At 40.7% G+C, this 19,020-nt stretch overlaps 1 annotated feature.

Annotated features, from left to right (window-relative positions):
* Positions 1,988-2,157: an enhancer, noted in NCBI's record as "experimental_34994 CRE fragment used in MPRA reporter constructs". NCBI's record gives its function as "activates a minimal promoter by MPRAs in K562 erythroleukemia cells, with activity observed for both the introgressed and non-introgressed 14:63825672 variant alleles {active_cell/tissue: K562}" and the evidence as "EXISTENCE:reporter gene assay evidence [ECO:0000049][PMID:34662402]".

Here is a 19,020-nt window from a genome sequence, read left to right as displayed (position 1 = left end):
AAGCCCCCACAGGGCCTTGAGCATAGAAGTCTGAGTGCTGTGCTCTACATAGAGACTCCTGGAAAGCCCAGGCTAGTTTGCTAAAATTTTTATCAGTTATCTGTTGCTGCATAACAATTTATTACAAACAGCAATGTAAAACAACACACATGTATTATCTGAGAGTTTCTGTGGATTAGGTATCTGGGTGTGGCTTAGCTGGGTCTTCTGCTGAGATCTCTCACGAGGCTGTAGTTGAGGTATAGTCCAGAATTATGATCTATTATTAAGGACTGACTGGGGAAGGATCTGCTTCCAAGCTCACATGGTTGTTGGCAGAATGCAGTTCCTTGCAATTATAAAACTGAGAACCTGTCTCTGGCTGGCCTTTGGCTGGGTGCTACCCTCAGTTTCTAACTGGCTGTTGACAAGAGACGATCCTCAGTTCCTTACCCTGTGGACCTCCTCACCATGGCTGCTTGCTACACAAAGACAGCAAGGAGTCTTCTAGCAAAATGGGCATTACAGCCTTATGTAACGTGATCACAGAAGTGGCATGTCATCACCTTTGCCATATTCTATTGATTAAAAACAAGTCATGAGCACAGGCCACACTCAGGAGAGAGGATTACACAAGAGTGTGAATGCTAAGAAGTGGGGATCAATAAGGCCATCTCAGAATCTGTCCACTACAGTTTGCTATCTGATTCTCAATGATTTGCCCTCTCCCACATGTCCCTTCACATGCGAAATACATTCATCTTCTCCCAAGGGGCGAAGAGTCTCATCCTATTATGGCATCTGTTCAAAGTCTAGAATCTCACCATCTAAGTCAGAAACTTCACTCTCTGGGTAAATTTCCCCTAGATCTGTCAGTTTTTAAAACTAGAGAAACAAGTTATCACCCTGCACACAACAAACAGTTGTGGAATAGGAATAGGATAATAGCTAAGATATTTCTGTCTAAAAGGGGAAAATGGGAGGTACAAAGGAGTCCTGGGAATAATCCTCTTTGGCTCTTGACTTTGTCCTTTGAGTTCTTGCTTCCACCCTCTGAATCATCCATCCTTTTTTAAAGTGGAAGATAGCATGCATTTGCAGCTTAGTTGTATCAGCTTGTTTTCTTTTTCTTTTTTTTTTTTTTTTTGAGATGGAGTTTCGCTCTGTCACCCAGGCTGGAGTGCAGTGGCATGATCTCGGCTCACTGCAACCTCTGCCTTCTGGTTTCAAGCGATTCCCCTGCCTCAGCCTCCTGAGTAGCTGGGATTACAGGTGCCCGCCACCACGCCTGGCTAATTTTTGTATTTTTAGTAGAGACGGGGTCTCACCATGTTGACCAGGCTGGTCTCTAACCCCTGACCTTGTGATCCACCTGCCTTGGCCTCCCAAAGTGCTGGGATTACAGGTGTGAGCCACCACGTCCGGCCAGCTTGTTTTCTGTAAGTAGGATTTTGGGAGTCCAAATGCATCTCTACATTTTGTACTATCTCTATTCCTTTCAGTCCAATTTGGCAGTGGTTTTGCTGAAATAACTTCCTTGAAAACTTTGCAGGTCTTCCACAGATTTCAATGGGGTTCGTGTCATTCAACAAAAGCCACACTTACAGATCTTTTTGAGATAGCCCTTCTCTACCTTGGCCTCTTGCTGAGAAGACTGAGGGAGAAGAGTTTTAAGCTCCCCAGGTCCCTCTGATTTGATTAAAGCATCTGTGAGGTATACCTTTAATGTGTTGAAAGAGCCCTTTGAGTAACTGAAAACTACTCTGATCCTCTGATCTGTCTTAGATTCTAATAAAAGGCTGTATAGTCACACTCTTGGCCTTTTCTCCATGCCATATTTTCCTGACAGTGCTAAGAAGCGATCTCTTAATTTTAACATATTTTGCTATCTAGGAAATCTAATACTTTTCCAAATGATTAAGTCCTGGTTCTTTGTTGTTTAACGGTTTTCCTTCAGTTTATCTGTATCCTTGTGCAATTTACTATAAGCAGCAAGAAGCAGCCAGGTAGTTCTTTCCTCATCTTGCTTGGAAATCCCTTTAGTTACATAACCAAGGTCATTCCTTAATGTTTTGCTTTCCATATACCACAGGAAACAACTTTGCTCAGCTTTCTGCCACTCCAAGCATCTCCCTTCCTCTGGTTTCTAATAACATGTTATTTCCTTCTGCACCTTCATCAGCAGCCATCCTCAAAATCCCATCTACTTATAGCCTATTTGAGCCAATTTATGTTTTCTCTACCATTCGTCCAATCTCTGCCCAATTCCAAAGCCACTTTTACATTTTTAGGTATTTGTCACAGTATCACCCCACTTCCATGTGTCAAAATTTCTATTGATATGCTTTGTGTAAGCCTTTCATCAAGCAGAGTTAAAGGAGGTTGACAGTTGATTCACTTGCATTCCAGAAGTGCTGAGCAAGGTTTACCATTCTTCCAGCAGGGTTATAGATATAAGAAAAGCTATTGGATGACAGTTAGGTTTTTTGGGCAAGGATGATACTGTTGTCCTGGCCCTGTTATTTCATCATCATAGACAGATTTATTTTCTCTGCACATTTATATGCCTTTAGGGTTCACTATCTCTGTGCTTCGTGAGTAGGACAAATTCTCTTGAAGCTAAGTTATTGGTATAGATTCTGGGGTTCTTGGGAAATATTAGCATCAAGGAGGACACAACTGGGTGAGAGTGGCTTAAAGGGGAATTAGGGATGGGACATTTGGAGATGGCTTTGCGCTTTGTGATTCTTAATCCACCTGAAAAGACATGGACTACCCGGCAGGCCCTTGGGTCACTGCCCACATACTTCCTCCAGCAGACTGACCTTCGAGTAGGATGAGCAGCTCTCATGATGACTGTCCCCTCGAGTGGCAGTCAGGGCACCTCAAGCTTCCTGACACATGATAAAAAGGCTTCAGGCTGGAAAACCCATATTCTGCTTCTAACAAGCCAAGTTGTCATGGCACGCCATGGCTGATGTCCACTCCTGGGGATACACCCTGAAGGTGAGCCTTGGGATACCAGCTGGGGGCCTCCCGCGGCTCAGGAGTGCTGCTTGGCGTTGATGGTTGGTCCCTACTAATCTCGAATGTTTCTCTGTAGCAGATCAAAGTGACAAATCTCCAGACATTTGAGTGCCCTAAGGATCATGCCTGTCTAACTTGGTATGTATCTCATGAGCTTAATTCAGCATGATGTCTTGAATGTCATGGACATGTCCTTCCATCGGCGTCCTTACATCACGGTTGACCAAGTACATCATTCTTCTGCATGGCAAACTGCTACTGCATGAGCAGCAGCATCCTTACAGATGTTTCCATTTCATCCAGATTGATGTAATCCTTAGTCCTAGTGAGGATCCTATTCTCTACGTTTATGTAAATATATTATCTTTCTCTTTTGGAAGATTCATTTTTACCCCTCACTATTAGGAAGGCTCCTTCGATGGTGGCTGGCCCTACCTTATATTTACCCCTGATAGTGTTTGTCCAACTTCCCAACCAACTTTAATTAAAACTCACAATCTGACCATCCTGGCTAACATGGTGAAACCCCATCTCTACTAAAAGTAAAAAAATTAGCCAGGCCTGGTGGCAGGCGCCTGTAGTCCCAGCTACTTGGGAGACTGAGGCAGGAGAATCGCTTGAACCCGGGAGGCGGAGGTTGCAGTGAGCCAAGATTGTGCCACTGCACTCCAGCCTGGGCAACAGGGTGAGACTCTGTCTCAAGCAAAACAAAACAAAAAAAAAACAACAAAAAACTCACAGTCTGTTTCCCTTTTTGGATGGAGATGGGGCTCCCAAGGACAGGTCATATAGGTAATGATCATTTTAGTTGATGTGATATATAGGCAGTTTTAGAGTCTCTTGCTAAGTAGAAAATGCTAATTCTTTAAAAAAAGATAATTCTTATTAACTCTTAAAAAGTAGTTTCCAATTTACGTCAAGTTGTGTCACATTATGTCTTGCCATCAAGCCTGGAGTGTGACCTGTCCAGAGACGGAGGACAGGCTGGCTGAGTAGAGCCTCCTTACCATTTCTCCACCCCTGCCTGTCTCCTCTTAAGAGCAGGTGGGCTTTCCTATATTCTCTTCTCTTGAGTGTAGTGAGTTGAATAGTGCCCCTCCAAAAGATACGTCCACCAGGAACTATGAATGTGACCTTACTTGGAATGGGGTCTTTGCAAATATAATCAAGTTAATGATCTTGAGATGTGATCATTCTGGATTTAGGGTGGGCCCTAAACCCAATGACAGGTGCCCCTATAAAAGAGAGAGACAGAAACACAGACACACAGAGGAGAAGGTAATATAAAGACAGAGGCAAAGATTGCAGTTATGTAGCCCCAAGCCAAGGACTGCTGGCAGCCCTCAGAAGCTAGGAGAGAGGGATGGAATGGGCTCTCTCTCAGGGCTTTCAGAAGGAACCAACCCTGCCCACACCTTGCTTTTGGACTTCTGGCCATGAGAAGGGTGAAAGAGTAAGTTACCACTTGGTGGTGATTTATTGCAGCACCTAGGATGCTAATGAATAAGGGATGTGGCAGAAATATGAGACATTACTGCTTGCAGCATTATCTGGTATGGGGGATAATCTGTATTATCTTCAAGAGAAAGAGCTAAGCATCAGAGGAAGTTATTTGGAGCTGGTGTCAAGGGTCTAGGATGGCTACTGCAAGGTCTTCAAAACCAAAGGAGGCCAAGACGGGGTAGAGGCTACTTTGGCTCAATCACACCAGGTATTTGGCTGAAGGAATAGCTCAGAAGAGTGTACTTCTGTCATATCAGACCAGCCCATGCTTTCTAGCTGGAAAATTAACACTTACTTGGACAGGATTTATTTGCATGCAAAGAATTTTAGAGGAAAATGACCACAGCCATTGCCAGTGAAGAGACTGAATTGGAATTGGAAACTCATTTTCCTGTCACTCAGCAGAACACCCTTCTCCCTTTGGAGCCATAAAAAATCTGTGCTTAGGAAAATGTTCATTCGCATCTGGCTTATGCAGGTGCTAGACATTGCCAGATATGAATAAGGGCAGAAGCTACAGCCTCATTTTTCATGTGGTGAGGAGTGGAGTTTCCTGGAGGGTGAGAGGACACCAGTTGGGAATGAGAGGTTCTATGTGTGTATGTGTGTGTGTGTGTGTGTGTGTGTGTGTGTGTGTGTGTGTGTGCAGGGAACAGGGGACATCACCTACTTCCCAAGCAAGGATTTGCCCTTTGTGGTCTGACATGTTGAGGAGCTGCAGGTCAGCCTAGCACTCCTCAAGCATAAGGAGATGTCTACAGATTGTCCCCTTCTAGGCCAGTACTATCAAGAGTCACAAAAGAGGTACCCAGGCCCATTCTGAGTATATTTGGATTAAGAAACATTGCCCTGATGCCTTGGCAGAGTCCCTTCTAGCCCTGAGTTGCTACAACTTTATGGATAGAAGTTGAAAGCTGGTTTATTTGACATTTTATCAGCCAGGCATCTCTACAAATGCTGGCACATCTAGATTCCTACAGGGTAACAATAATTGGAAATAATCTAAATAGAGAAGAGGGAAATAATTGGCTGTTCTCCATTCTTGATCAGCCATAATGGCAAATCTATGGACTTTCATGAATGACAGCATTGCAGCCGGTGGAGGAGCCGGAGGATCTGAGTTCTAGCCAGTTCTAGCCTTGTCTTCATTGAGATAGAACAACTTACTAAAGCAGAGGGGAGAGAGGCCAGACTCATGACCATGAGATGTGGGTTCCAGTTGCAGCTGTGCTACTAATTTGGTACTCATTTTTTTGGGTTTTCAACTGCCAAACACCTGAATCTCTTTCCTACTCTTGAGAAAATCCAGAGCTCATCTCCCACTCCATTTCGGAGTTGTAGAATCTAGAGTAATGCCTCTAAAAGAGGCGTCACTTCATTGTGTCATGAGGAGAGTTCGACTGGAAGCCTCCGATGTCTGGTAGGGGAGGCACAGCAGAACTGTTTAGTGCCAGAGGGCGGGAGTACCAGTGACGGCTTGTACTGTCCAGGGCCACCCCATGTCAGCCTGACTGGGGCAGTCCTGCCGTGCTAATGTCTGAGCCTGTTCTCCAGACTTTTTTCTCATTTCTTTTTTCTTTTTTTTTAGACGGAATCTTGCTCTGTCACCCAGGCTGGAGTGCAGTGGTGCAATCTCAGCTCACTGCAACCTCTACCTCCTGGTTCAAGTGATTCTCGTGCCTCAGCCTCTTGAGTAGCTGGGATTACAGGCATGCGTCACCACACCCAGCTAATTTTTTAATATTTTTTAGTAGAGATGAGGTCTCACTGTGTTGGCCAGGCTGGTCTCGAACTCCTGACCTCAAGTGATCTGCCCGCTTTAGCCTCCCAAAATGCTGGGATTACAGGTGTGAGCCACTGCGCCTGGCCTTTTCTTATTTATTTTAAGTTCACTAGAGTTGGTTTCTCTTGTTTGCACAGTTGTGTAATTTAAATTAAGCTTTCTGGAATTCTGTTTAAAATGAAGCTCTTTGGAGCTCTAGAATGAAAAATTGGAAGCTAACAGGATCAAGGGGCTGGCTGAGGGATTAGAATACAAGCATGCTTATACTTTCCTCCTGATGAGGAGGTGAAAGACTAGGTTTAAAAAACAGTCATAATGTGTTCAGTTATTCATTGTAGCATGGTTTGTGGTAGCAGAACATTAGAGACAATGAAGCAATAGGGAACTGATGAAATATCCTTTGCCATAGCATGTAGCAAAAAATAAAGTATGAGGAGCTCTCTATGAACTGGTAAGGTGAGATCTCAAAGAGGTATCATTTTGTGAAAAAAAAAATTTCTGAAGAGTTTAGAGTATGCATTTTTTTGTAAAAAAAAAAAAGAGGCAAATATAAGGTTTTTTTGTTATTTCCTTGTATTTGCCTAAGAAAACACTGGAAACATAAGTAAGAAATTAATATACATGTTGTCTGAGGGCAGAACAGGATAAAAGGGGTCAGAGTGGTAGCAGGACTGTTAATATTGGTTGCTTTAAAAGTCATGTAAATATATCTTTTTAAGAAAAGGATTTATAAGATTTCGTTTCTCTAAACATAACGTGTTAAGTGATATATACTATACGTAAAATCTATCTCTTTCTTCTTTCTGTCATTTATCTAACTAGAATTTTAAAAATTCAGCGTGATATTTAGTCTTTTGCTTGGAGTGAAGGCCTTGAGAAGACAGATGTTCCGAGTGGAGAGAGAGCAGGAGCCAGGCTGGAGAAGCAGGCAGGGGCTAGATCACACACGACTTCCAAGGTCATGACATAGGGTTTGGATTTTATCCCAAGAGCAATCTAAAGTTACTGAAAGGGCTTAAACGGGGGAAGAACTGAGTCCAATTTCCATATATTGACTTTTTGCTGCTCAATTTTTTGGTCATTTCACTTACATAGAGGAAGTGTAAGTTGTTTGCAACTCCCAATACCATATCTGAAATTCAACTTTGTTAATGGATTAATTGTCTAATATAAAGGCCCTTCTCTGATTAAAGCAGCTTTTCCTAAAAACCATAGGAATTTGATTTTGAAATCTTTGGTAATCAGTGCGAGTCAATGGGTTGCTAACCTCATGACTATTAGTCGAAGTTGGCGATTACCTTTTGGAAAATGTATTGAGATTTTATTTGTTTTAGTTCTACCATGAGTAAGGTTAGGTTAAAAAAAAACCCAGTGAATTCTAGAAACAAATGAGCAAAAAATCATCTCTCCCTCTCTTTCTCTCCCTCTCTTCCCCTTTCTCTCTTTCTAGTTTTAGTCTATATCTTCTGTAGGGCCATGGTTCTTAAAGTGTGGTCTTCAGACCCTGGGACTTTTTCAGGAGGTTTGCAAGGTAAAAACTGTTTAAGGAATAATATTAAGATGTCATTTATTCTTTTAGATGTGTTGACATTTGCTCTGGTGGCATAAAAGCAGTGGAGGACAAAAGTGCTGGTGCTTTAGCGTGAATTAAGGCAGCAACACCAAACAGTAAAAGTAGTCATTAAAATTTTTACCACCACATGGTTGGGTGCAGTGGCTCATGCCTGGAATCCCAGCACTTTGGGAGGCCAAGGCGGGTGGATCACCTGAGGTCAGGAGTTCGAGAACAGCCTGGCCAACATGGTGAAAACCCTGTCTCTACTAAAAATACAAAAACTAGCCGAGTGTGGTTGTGCACGCCTGTAATCCCAGCTAGTCAGGAGGCTGATTCTCCTGAGGCTCAGGAGAATCACCTTGAGCCTGGGAGGCAGAGGTTGCAGTGAGCCACAGTCACACCACTGCACTTCAGCCTGGGCAACAGAGTGAGACTCTGTCTCAAAGGAAAAAAAAAATTACCACCACACATTCTCAGTTAAAAAAAAAAATGCTACTTTCACTTAAGAAAATTCTTGATAAAGCAGTAAAAAGTATTAATTTTACTAAATTTCCATCCTTGGAAAGGATGATTCAAGGATTCCATCCTTGAATCATCTTAATACTTTGTGTGATGATGCTATGAGAGGTTTACATAATGTGAGTGTGCTGCATTTTGAACTATATTGTCTTGAGGAAAAGTGTTTGCGTGATTGAGAGCTGGATTAACTGACTTTACCACCCCTCCATGGAACACCATTTTTACTTGAAAGAATGACAGACAAATTGTGATTATTTAGAATTGGATACTTGGCAGATATCTTCTAGAAAATGAAGCAAGTGACCTGTCACTTCAAGGAAAATAACTGACAGTATTTATTGTCAACAATACAATTGGACATTTCAAGGACAAAATTAGAATTTTGGAAAACATATTTCTGCTACTGTGAGCTTGACAGCTTCCAAAAACTTCAAGACTTTTCTGATGAGAATGCTGGTAATATTAATTAATGTATTTCTTTTTAATTTTGTATGAGAAAATATGAGAACACTTGGAAGGTTTGCCCAAGTCAGTGAACTAATGTTTTCTAAGTGATTGATGCAGGATATTACAAACTCCTGCCTGGGTAAGAGATCCATTCAAAGTGCAAGATAGACCAACAGATTTTAAGCTAATTCAGTATAAAAAGTTTATTGATAATGGTTTCAGATTCTACATTACCACTAACCTTTAAGAAACTACCACCTGAGAAAAGTGGTCATTAAAATTTTTACCACCACACATTCTCAGTTAAAAAATAGTACTAGTTGACTGGCCGTGGTGGCTCACGCCTGTAATCCCAGCACTTTGGGAGGCCGAGGCGGGCAGATCACCTGAGGTCAGGAGTTCGAGACCAGCTTGACCAACATGGAGAAACCCCGTCTCTACTAAAAATACAAAATTAGCCGGGTGTGGCGATGCATGCCTGTAATCCCAGCTACTCGGGAGGCTGAGGCAGGAGAATCGCTGGAACCCAGGAGGCGGAGGTTGTAGTGAGCCGAGATCATGTCATTGCACTCCAGCCTGGGCAACAAGAGTGAAACTCCGTCTCAAAAAAAAATATATATATAGTACTAGTTTCACTTAAGAATGTCTTTGATAAAGCAGCAAAAAGTATTAATTTTACTAAATTTCAGTACTTGAATCAGTTTAATATCTGGGATGATGATATAAGAATGCTTAATGCACTTCTGCTGCATATTGAAATGTAAGTTTTGGTTGAGTTTTGGTTTAGTATCAAAGAGTATCCACAGTTATCTAAAAAGAGTATTAAAAGATTCCTCTTGTTTCTGACTATGTATCATTGTGAGGCTAGATTTTCTTCATAAATCAGCTAAAAAAAACCACAATAGATTGAATATAAATATACCCATGAGAATCTAGATGTTTCTATATGTCAGACATTAAAGTGATTTGTAAATGTCTGAAAGAAAGCAGTGTTCCTTAGTATTTTTTGACAACATGGTTATTTTTTCCACAAAATGTGGCATTTATGTTAAAATGCAATGAGTTTATTATTGTTATTTTAAAATTAATAGGTAGATTTTTAAAAATTACTGAGTTTTAATTTTTACTGTGGTAGATATTGACGGATAGAACCAACATAAACAAAAGCTCTTGGGGGACCTCAATAATCTTTAAGAAAATAAAGGGATCTTGAGACCAACAAGTTTGGGAACCAGTGATCTAGACAAAGCTTTTGTCTATTCATATGTACATCCAGTATTACTCTTGTGTTCAATGATTTCATGTGATTAAGTCTTTTTTGTTTAAAAATTTTTTTTAAAGAGACAGGTCTTGCTCTGTCGCCAAGGCTGGAGTGCAGTGGTGCAGTCTTGGCTCATTACAGCCTTGAGCTCCTGGGCTCAAGCAATCCCCCCTGCTTCAGCCTCCTGAGTAGCTAGGACTACAGGTAGGCACGACCGTGTCTGGCTAATTTTTAAATTTTCTTTATAGATGGGGTCTCGCTGTGTCACCCAGTCTGGAATCCAATGGTGTGTCATAGTTTATGTAACCTCAAACTCTTGGCCTCAAACGGTCCTCCTGCCTCAGCCTCCCAAAGTGCTGGGATTATAAGCATGGGCTGCTGGGCTCAGCCTAAAGTTTTTATTTCTAAATTCTCTGTTGAAGTGAAACACATACAAATACATGTGTAGGACAGGGAATGATTGAGTCAACAAGTTTTAAACATCACTTTTGATAGTTTATTATTCTCTTTTCCTGTAAAATGGGGTTAATATCACCAAACTCATAGGGTGGTTGCTGGATTAGATAATACATGTAAAATGCATGACACAATTCTACTGGTTTCTCAATGTTTTTTTTCTTTTCTTAGTACATTTATAAATATGCTTTAATATGTGGAATTACCTGAGTGGTACATTTCTCTCTGGCAGCTTTACTAGCACATTTCTGTGTGGTATATATATTTCTATAGATTTCTCCCTCATCGCCAAATGGAAGTTTTATACAAGGAGTAGTTTAGATATTTTTCTTCATGAGGAGAGTGAGTGCAAATAGTAACCTCTGAGTAACAATTGTTGTTGCTTTTCTTCAAAGAAAAAGCTGAAGTCTGCTACAGAATACTTACAGAGAGCTAGAAAACCCAGTATGACACCACTTTATCCTAAAGCTATCCTGGAACCTCAATGAATTTGAGTGACAAGTTCCAAAGAGAAGAGATTACAGATTTCCTTTAGTGCACTAAAAAAAAATGTCTACTTACAACCTTTTTCCTCCATTTGACAGACTATTTCTAAAAAGCATTACCATTACTGCTATTTTCTGTTTCTTCAGATTTACCTACAATCCCTCTCAAAAATTTTTGGCTGTGATGTCTGAGATTTGAGAACAATCACAGTCATTCTTGTGACTAGAAACCAGATAATGAAATTTGTGTTTGGCTTAACTACCAGGGAAAAAAGTATGGAGAAATAAGCCACATGTATTCTTCTTTGATCAAATGTCATGGTTATAAATAATAGAAATTGTGGTTTACTTGGAGAGTTGTCTAAATGGCATGGAGTTACTATGTTACTCTAAAGTAAACCAACATATATCTTTGTTTTCTTTGTGGTTTCTTTGTAAGATGTGTTTTTAAAAGTTTTATATTTTAATGATATGGCTTTCATTACCATTGGTGACATGTAATTGGTGGCTTATGAACATGAAAAGAAGATTAATTATCTAGGAGAAACTTTGAAAATGGCTGGAGAATGTTTCAGTAATATGTGGGTATCCTTTCTGAAAGAAACTTTCCCCAGATCTAGTCATGGAAGGAGTGAGGTAGAAATCCACTTAGAGCCCATTAAAGAGAAATTGGATAATGGAATTGGAAGAGATATGTAAAAGTTAACTTTTCCAAATTATCTTATTCTAAATTCTGAATAAGTTGGCTTTATTTGCCTACACACTGATTAGGTTTATTGTTAACACTTGATTACTGGGGTCTCTTGCATTTTGGTGTTCTTTCTCTCATTTCCTGACAATTGCATATTATATTACTTATTAACATTAATACCAAAGGGTAAGGATTATAACAGAGAAGAAACTTGCCGCAAGATGGGAGTCTGATGGTTACTTTCAGCTTGACTTCCCTCATTTCTAAAATGGAAATGATAATATTCTCTACTTCATAGGATTGTCCCAAGGATTAAAAGGGATAATTTGTATGAAGTGCTCAACATAGTGCCTGGTACATAGTAAGATCCACAAATATGAATTGTAAACTATTTTATTTGAATTTGTTTTGCTAATTGAGAGGAAGGGGGAGGTCAAATTATTGGCTGATACGAGGCTTAGATTTTATCTGTTTCCATCAGTCTCTCTTGAATTAATTGGTCAGAAATATCATCATCAATATACCCATGGACCAACCCTAAGTAATTATGCTTCTGAACTTCCTAACCTAAATTCATGAATATTTCAGGTTAGTGAGTTCAACGCCATCTCCCCTGTTGCAGCAGCCTTGTATAACAAAAACCTGCAGGTGAGGGACACTGTTTTGGTGTCATTGTGTCAGGCAGGATGGAGCTGCAACTAATAGAAATTAGGAATAACAATGGCTTATGGAATGAAAACATTTATAAACTCACATAATAAGTCTGATGATTAATTTTTTATACCCAAAGGGCCAGGGACTTTACTGTCACCACTCTGCTGTCCTCGTCGCACTGATTTTCATTCACAGGCTTGTATCCTCCTGCTTGCAAGATGGCTGCCACAGCTCCGGGCACCATGCCCTCATATCAGTACATCAAGAAGGAGGAAGAAGAATTTCTCCTTACAGATCTCTTTCCACTGGAGAGGAAATTCTTTTGTAGACGTCTCCCAGGAGACTTCCCTGTCTTTGCTTGAGTTCCCCAAAATGCAGAGCCTGAGTCAAAATTTTAGATCTTGAAAGGTGTAGCAAGGGAAGCAATGAAGAACCCAAATGAGGTAACAAGGATGAACAGATTTAACAATAATGGTGAACTCTGTCTGATGGTGACCCTGGTCTTCTAGTGTAGTATATAAGGCTCTCTCTCTCTCTCTCTCTCTCTCTCTCTGTGTGTGTGTGTGTGTGTGTATACATTCAGGATTGTGTGTGAATTCATTTATCCATTTCACGCATTCATTCATAAACTCAGTATACATTGGGCATCTACTATTCTGGGTGCTGGAGATTCAAAATGTGACATGGCTCTTGCTGCAAGAACCCCATGCGCTGTCTACCCTCCCTGTTCCTCTCTCCCTTCCTCATCTATTTAGCTCAGACCCCTGCCTCATTCTCTCACCCACCTTTTTGGCGACACAGAGTTCTCAAGCCTCTTGCCTTTCAGCTGGCCTGGAGATCTTGGCTCAATTTACTTTGCTTTCTGCCTTTCTGCACCCTTGCTTGCCTGGGGTGCTGGATGCTCCTGAATAAAGTCATGTAGACCTGGCAATTGGTGTCTCTGCAGATGTGTCATTTCATCTCATCTGACCCCTTATTGCAGCCTGGCTGCCTATTTACTCAGCTCAAACCCCTCTGTCTCCATTCCACTCAGTGACTGTTTTAAACATTTGCTTGTCTTCTGTAGACCCCCAGTCCATTTTTTTTTCCTCTCTCTGGCTTGCTTTCCATTTTAGAGAGATGTATACTTCCTAAACTTCTTTTTGGTCCCTCTCTGGCAAACTCATCTGCTCTTTTACTGAACCTTGTTTTGGTACTAGGCCATTTACCTTCAATAAGAAGCAACTTGAGACAGCCTAAACTTGATCTGATACTGTCTATGGAGATGGTGTGGGTACCACTGTTCATTATATCACATGCTTAGTGAGGGACAGTGGGTGAAAGTTCTCACAAGTCTCAGAACCAGGAGTTGCTGTGATTTTTTTGGAGCAACTATTTCATATGTATTTCTACCTATATTTACTCTAGCCTCCTTCCTTCCTTCCTTCCTTCCTTCCTTCCTTCCTTCCTTCCTTCCTTCCATATTTTCTCTCTTCTCTTCTTTTCTTGGTCTCACTCTGTCACCCAGGCTCGAGTCCAGTGGCACCATCATGGATCACTGCAGCCTAGACCTCCGTGGCTCAAGTGATCCTCCCATCTCAGCCTCCCAAGTAGCTGGGATTACAGGGGTGCATGCCTCCATCCCTGGCAAGTTTTTGTATTTTTTGTAGAGATGGGGTTTCCCCATGTTGCCCAGGCTGGCCTCAAACTCATGAGCTCAAGTGATCCATCTGCCTTGGCCTCCCAACGTGCTGGGATTATAGGCATGAGCCACTATCCCTGGCCTATTTACTCTAATTTATATCTCTTTATGGATATTTAAGTCTTCACCAGAACTTTCCTTTGGATGAAAGGAACCTCAGAGTTAAATCTGTGCTTTACTACACAGCATAAGAGTGGGCGCCAACTGGGTCTATAGCAAGACACACCAGAAAGGGAGTTGGCCACCTACTCAGGGCATTGTTGTAGCAAAAGGATCCCTGGGCTGGGCGTCTTGCACCTACAATCTGCTCCTAGCTCTGTTCCTTGCTGGTTGTGTATTCTGGAGCAACTTGCATTGACTTTCTTGGTTAGTAATACAATAACATGCCTCTTCAAATCTCCTACCATTCCCTCTCATTCATCGCAAAATCGGTAGATATTTTTAATGAAAGTTCTTATAAATTCTGGATAATGTCGGGGCTCATGTCACATGAATACCAGAAGCCCTTTGAAGAAGACAATTAGAAAGAAGCAAGAAAGTTATGCTCAAAGTGTTACCTTTTCTGTGTTGGAAACCAAAGGCTTGCTTTGCTACATGTTGTATGCAGCCTCCAGCATTGAGGGCTGGGGGAAGGGGGCCAACATATACCGGTTTAGGTGTATCTAACGTTGAGAAAAGCAGCATTTTCAAGGCATGTGAAATATCCACCCTAAAATGTCTCAGTACAGTAAGTGAGGCCTCAACAGATAATTAAAAAGAAAGAGTCATGTAGGGATTTTAGGGAAGGAGTCACAATGTAACAATATGATTGAACCCCTTTCAGGAATGACATACTAGATGTCAGTCTGTGGTTTTGCAGCAGGTGAAATAGGATATTGCATCGTGGTTCAAAGGGTAGGCAAGACTTCAGATGCTTTTTGGTGAATGTCTCCTTGTCCTCTATTCTCTAGTAAATCACCCTAATGCAAGAGATGTACCCAGAGCAACTTGTTAGTCAAACTGTTTGTTTAACACTTTAGAGTGTCTGGCTGGTGACGTTTTCGGTAATTTACAGCCTTGCTCATTGTGCTGACAAAATATTTTCTCCTGCTCTGAATTGCTGCCTTTATTCACACTGCCTGAATATGAATTAAATGACCTTTAATTTCTGTGGAGGAATATTTTACTATGTAGATGCTTTGTATTTTGATATCAGTTTGGAAAAACTGCTCTCTGTGAAATGTATTTTGAATTATTATTGTTTCTATCTCCTTTTCCCTTTCAAGAAAGAGTTGTATTTATCTCTTTTTCTCAGAGCTCAGGCTTTCCCAGGAGGAAAGGTGCTGAGGCAGCTCCCAATCTAAGAGTGGTATTTAATTCAAAAAATATCCCAAGTCAAGGATTGTGTTCCAAGATCCCAGGATGCCAGTTACTCCATGAGAAAGAGTTCCCTAGGCTTGAGGAGTTCCTTTGGAGTCAGAGATTTTAGTGGTCATGGTTCATTGTCTATCCAGGATCCATTTTCTCTACTTCTCACTTCCACATACAATTTTGATTTTCTTCAGGCTTCCTCCCGCCCCTTCCTCATGCAATGACTTGAAGCTGCGGAGGCTGACACCAGCCTTCTCTACAGGTGGGTCCTGATTCATGTGAACCAGTCATGGAATTCCCTCCTGCTCGTCAGTGATTGGTTCAGAGGTGGGCACATGAACTAAAGGGGACCAATCAGACTGAAAGGAATGACTTGTCAGAGTTTTGCTCTTTCTCAGTGGACATGAAAGACAAAGTACCTTGCTCCAGTTGCTGCTGCAGCCATGTTGTGACCATGAGGGTGCCTCCATGTGAGGACAAAGCTGATATGCTAAAGAGGGAGGAACAGAGAAAATCTCAGGGAGAAAGAGACCAAGCTTTGCTCTCTCCTTGAGCCTATTCTACCTCTGAAATTTTGCTATGTAAAACAACAAATTTCCTAATTTTGAAACCTATATGAGTCAGGCTTTCTCTTGCTTCAACAACGTATTCAGCATATGTCCGCTATGTGCCAGGCACTGGCGTAGATACTAGGTATGCAGCAGGGAACAATATGGTCAGAGTGTTTACCTTCATGAAGCTGGCTTTATGGTAGCAGAGAAAACAACACACAGATAAACCTATACTATAGCGCCAGGGAATAAAGCAGGGTAAGGGGATGGGGAGTGTTGCCGGGGGTCCTGTGTGTGAGAGGCATGCTATTTGAGGCAATGTGGTAAAAGAAGTGAATAAAGTGAGAGAGTGAGCCATTAAAATATCTGAGGAAAGAACTTTCCTGGCAGGGGAAACAAATTCAGAAGTCCGAAGGCAGGAATGTGCTTGGTGCATTTTAGGAAAAACCAGGAGGCTGATAGAGCTGAGTCGGGTGGAGACTGGTGATAAGAGGGCGGCAGTGGTGGGAACATAAGAGTCCCTGGAGGCCAGGGTAGGGACTAGGAATTGTCTGTTTAACTACTGGAGAAAGTTGAGAATGGGTATTGTTTGTAGCACAAAGCATCTTAATGAGCACAGAGGTAAAGTAACTCGGGCTGAAGATAGAATCTGGGAAGACCACTCTCTAATAGCAGGGCCTGCTTTGAGCCTTTGAATGGTCATTGTGCCCATTTAGTCTCCAAGGGACTCATCAGACTAAGCATCTGTTGCTGAGTTTTTATAGTTTTGAATAATCAAAATTCAGTATAACTATACACATATATATATGTATGTATATACATATGATATTGAGAAAGTACCCATTTTTTCCTTTTGGACTAAGAAATTAAGTATTATTTTAAGTCAAAAATAAATGTTGCATCTATTTTATCATATGCTTTTGCAGCCTCTGTTGAGATGATATCATGTGTTTTTCCTCCTTGGGTCTATTAATATGGAGAATTATATGAACAGATTTCCTGTTACTGAATCATCCTTGCATTTCTGGAATAAGCCCAACTTGGTCATGGTATGTTATTTGTTTAATATGTTGCTGAATTCAACTTGCTGACATTTTCTTTAGCATTTTTACATAGGTACTTATAAGAGAAATAATATAGGTTTCTTTTCTGATGTTCTCTTAATTTATTTTTGTCGTTGCATTAGTGTCTTTGTAAAAAGAATTGGGATGTTTTCCTCTCTGGGATTGTTTAAATAGTGTCATGATTTTCTTTCCTTGAAGGTTTGAAATAATTAAGTTTTAATGGCAAACACAATCCACTCACCTTAAAAAATTAATTATAATTTATGACTTTCCAGTTATGTCCATAGGCTTGCATAATTGTTAAACAGGTGTAGCTCTAGCATTTATTATGTATAGTTCTGTATTCTGATTTTCCTCCTTAACCTAATGTCAAATGTTTTTCCACATGCTGTAGTCTTTATAATAATTTTAATGGATAGGTATTATTCCATTGTGTAGATGGAGCATACTTTAATATTTTCCTATCCTTGTGTGAGTAGGATGTTTTCTGTTGCTATTTTTATAAAATAATGCTGTAGTAAATATATTTTGCATATATTGTATTCTCATTTAAATTCTTTTCCTTTAAGATAAATTGCCAGGAATGGGAAGGTAGAAAACTTTCTATGACCTTTGACACATATGGGCAAAGTATTTTCCATAAGATTTGTGTCAATTTGCGTGGGTTGTAGAATTTGGGTACATTATTTGCATAACATCATTGTCAGTATTGGGTGTTATTTTAATATATTTTTCTGTTATTAGGTATAAAATGGCACCATAAACATCTTCTAGTCCCGTCTCAAGGGTGGGGAAAGGAAGAGGAGAACTTTCCTTTAAATGCTGCCCATCCCGTTGAGCCTAGGGAGTTGATTTTGTTACTCTCATTTCCCAGGTGTAGAAAGAGTTAGGCCTGAGCTCTGAATGGGTTCCCACTCCCAACTATTGGCTGCGTTGTACTAACTAAAGCTAACTCCCAGAACTCAGACGTTGTCACCTTTTGTTTTTGTTTTGCTCTTTAGTTAATGTTGATTGAGTTCTTATAATAGACTAAGCACAGTGCCTTAACTGTATTTGCTTCCAGTTTGTTACCAAGCAAGACACAATGGCTGGGAACATGAGATTCTATAGGCAAGAGCCTGCCCTTTTAAAGATGAAAGAGCTACCTTTTAAAGATAAAATGCTTTCCATCTTTACTTCCTCACTGACTCTCCTGATTTTGTGACTATGTACACAGATCACTGTCTTCTGAGTATTTAGGTAGCTGGCTTAGGGAGGGGAGAGAAATCTTGGCTCTTCAGCATTGCACTTGTGGTTCTTGCCTAGTTAATTCATAAAAAGCAAAACACGACTTGCCACCTTAGCAGAGAAGACAGTCTTATTTTTGTGAAATCAAAGTGCTTTGTAACCATGACGAATTTCCAATGTCAATAAACTGTCCCCAGGGAGAGGTTCTGATTGCAAAAGCCTCCCATAGAATAATCGAGCTCTCTTTTTCTCAAGCTGCGATGCTCACATTGGTGGCGTCTCCAGCCAGGAGGCTGATCTCACCCGCCTTGCCAGGGACTCGGAGAAGGATAATTGGAAAGCAGAAGTCAGTCAAGACTATTTCTATGGTTTTTAGTTTTAAAAGTGAACTGGGGACATTCAGAAATATAAAATACTCTTCATAGTGAGGCAAGGAAGCAAGTGGTAGAGTCTGGAAACCAGATTTGTGCTCTGAAGTGAGTAAAGTGAAAGAGGGGACAGAGAGGGGAAAGGAGTGGGTTCTTAGATAAAAGTTGGTTTTGAGTGACATGCTAAAAACTGGTAATTTTTTGAAACAGAAGCATGTCAGAGTTGCTATTTCTCTCCCTCTTGTATATGAATATACCATTGTTTAATAAATATTTATTGAACATGTAGACATTCTTAGTTGTGTATTTGATCCTGGGAATACTAAATCAAGATTCTGTCCCTAGCTTTAAGTTAATTGTGTTTAATGTGAAAAAAAAATTTCATGAACTTAAAAATGGTGATTGTTAGGTCAAGGCGC

The sequence above is a fragment of the Homo sapiens genome, chromosome 14 (assembly GCF_000001405.40).
Source record: "Homo sapiens chromosome 14, GRCh38.p14 Primary Assembly".
Lineage (NCBI taxonomy): Eukaryota > Metazoa > Chordata > Mammalia > Primates > Hominidae > Homo > Homo sapiens.
This window is presented reverse-complemented; position numbering and strand designations above follow the sequence as displayed.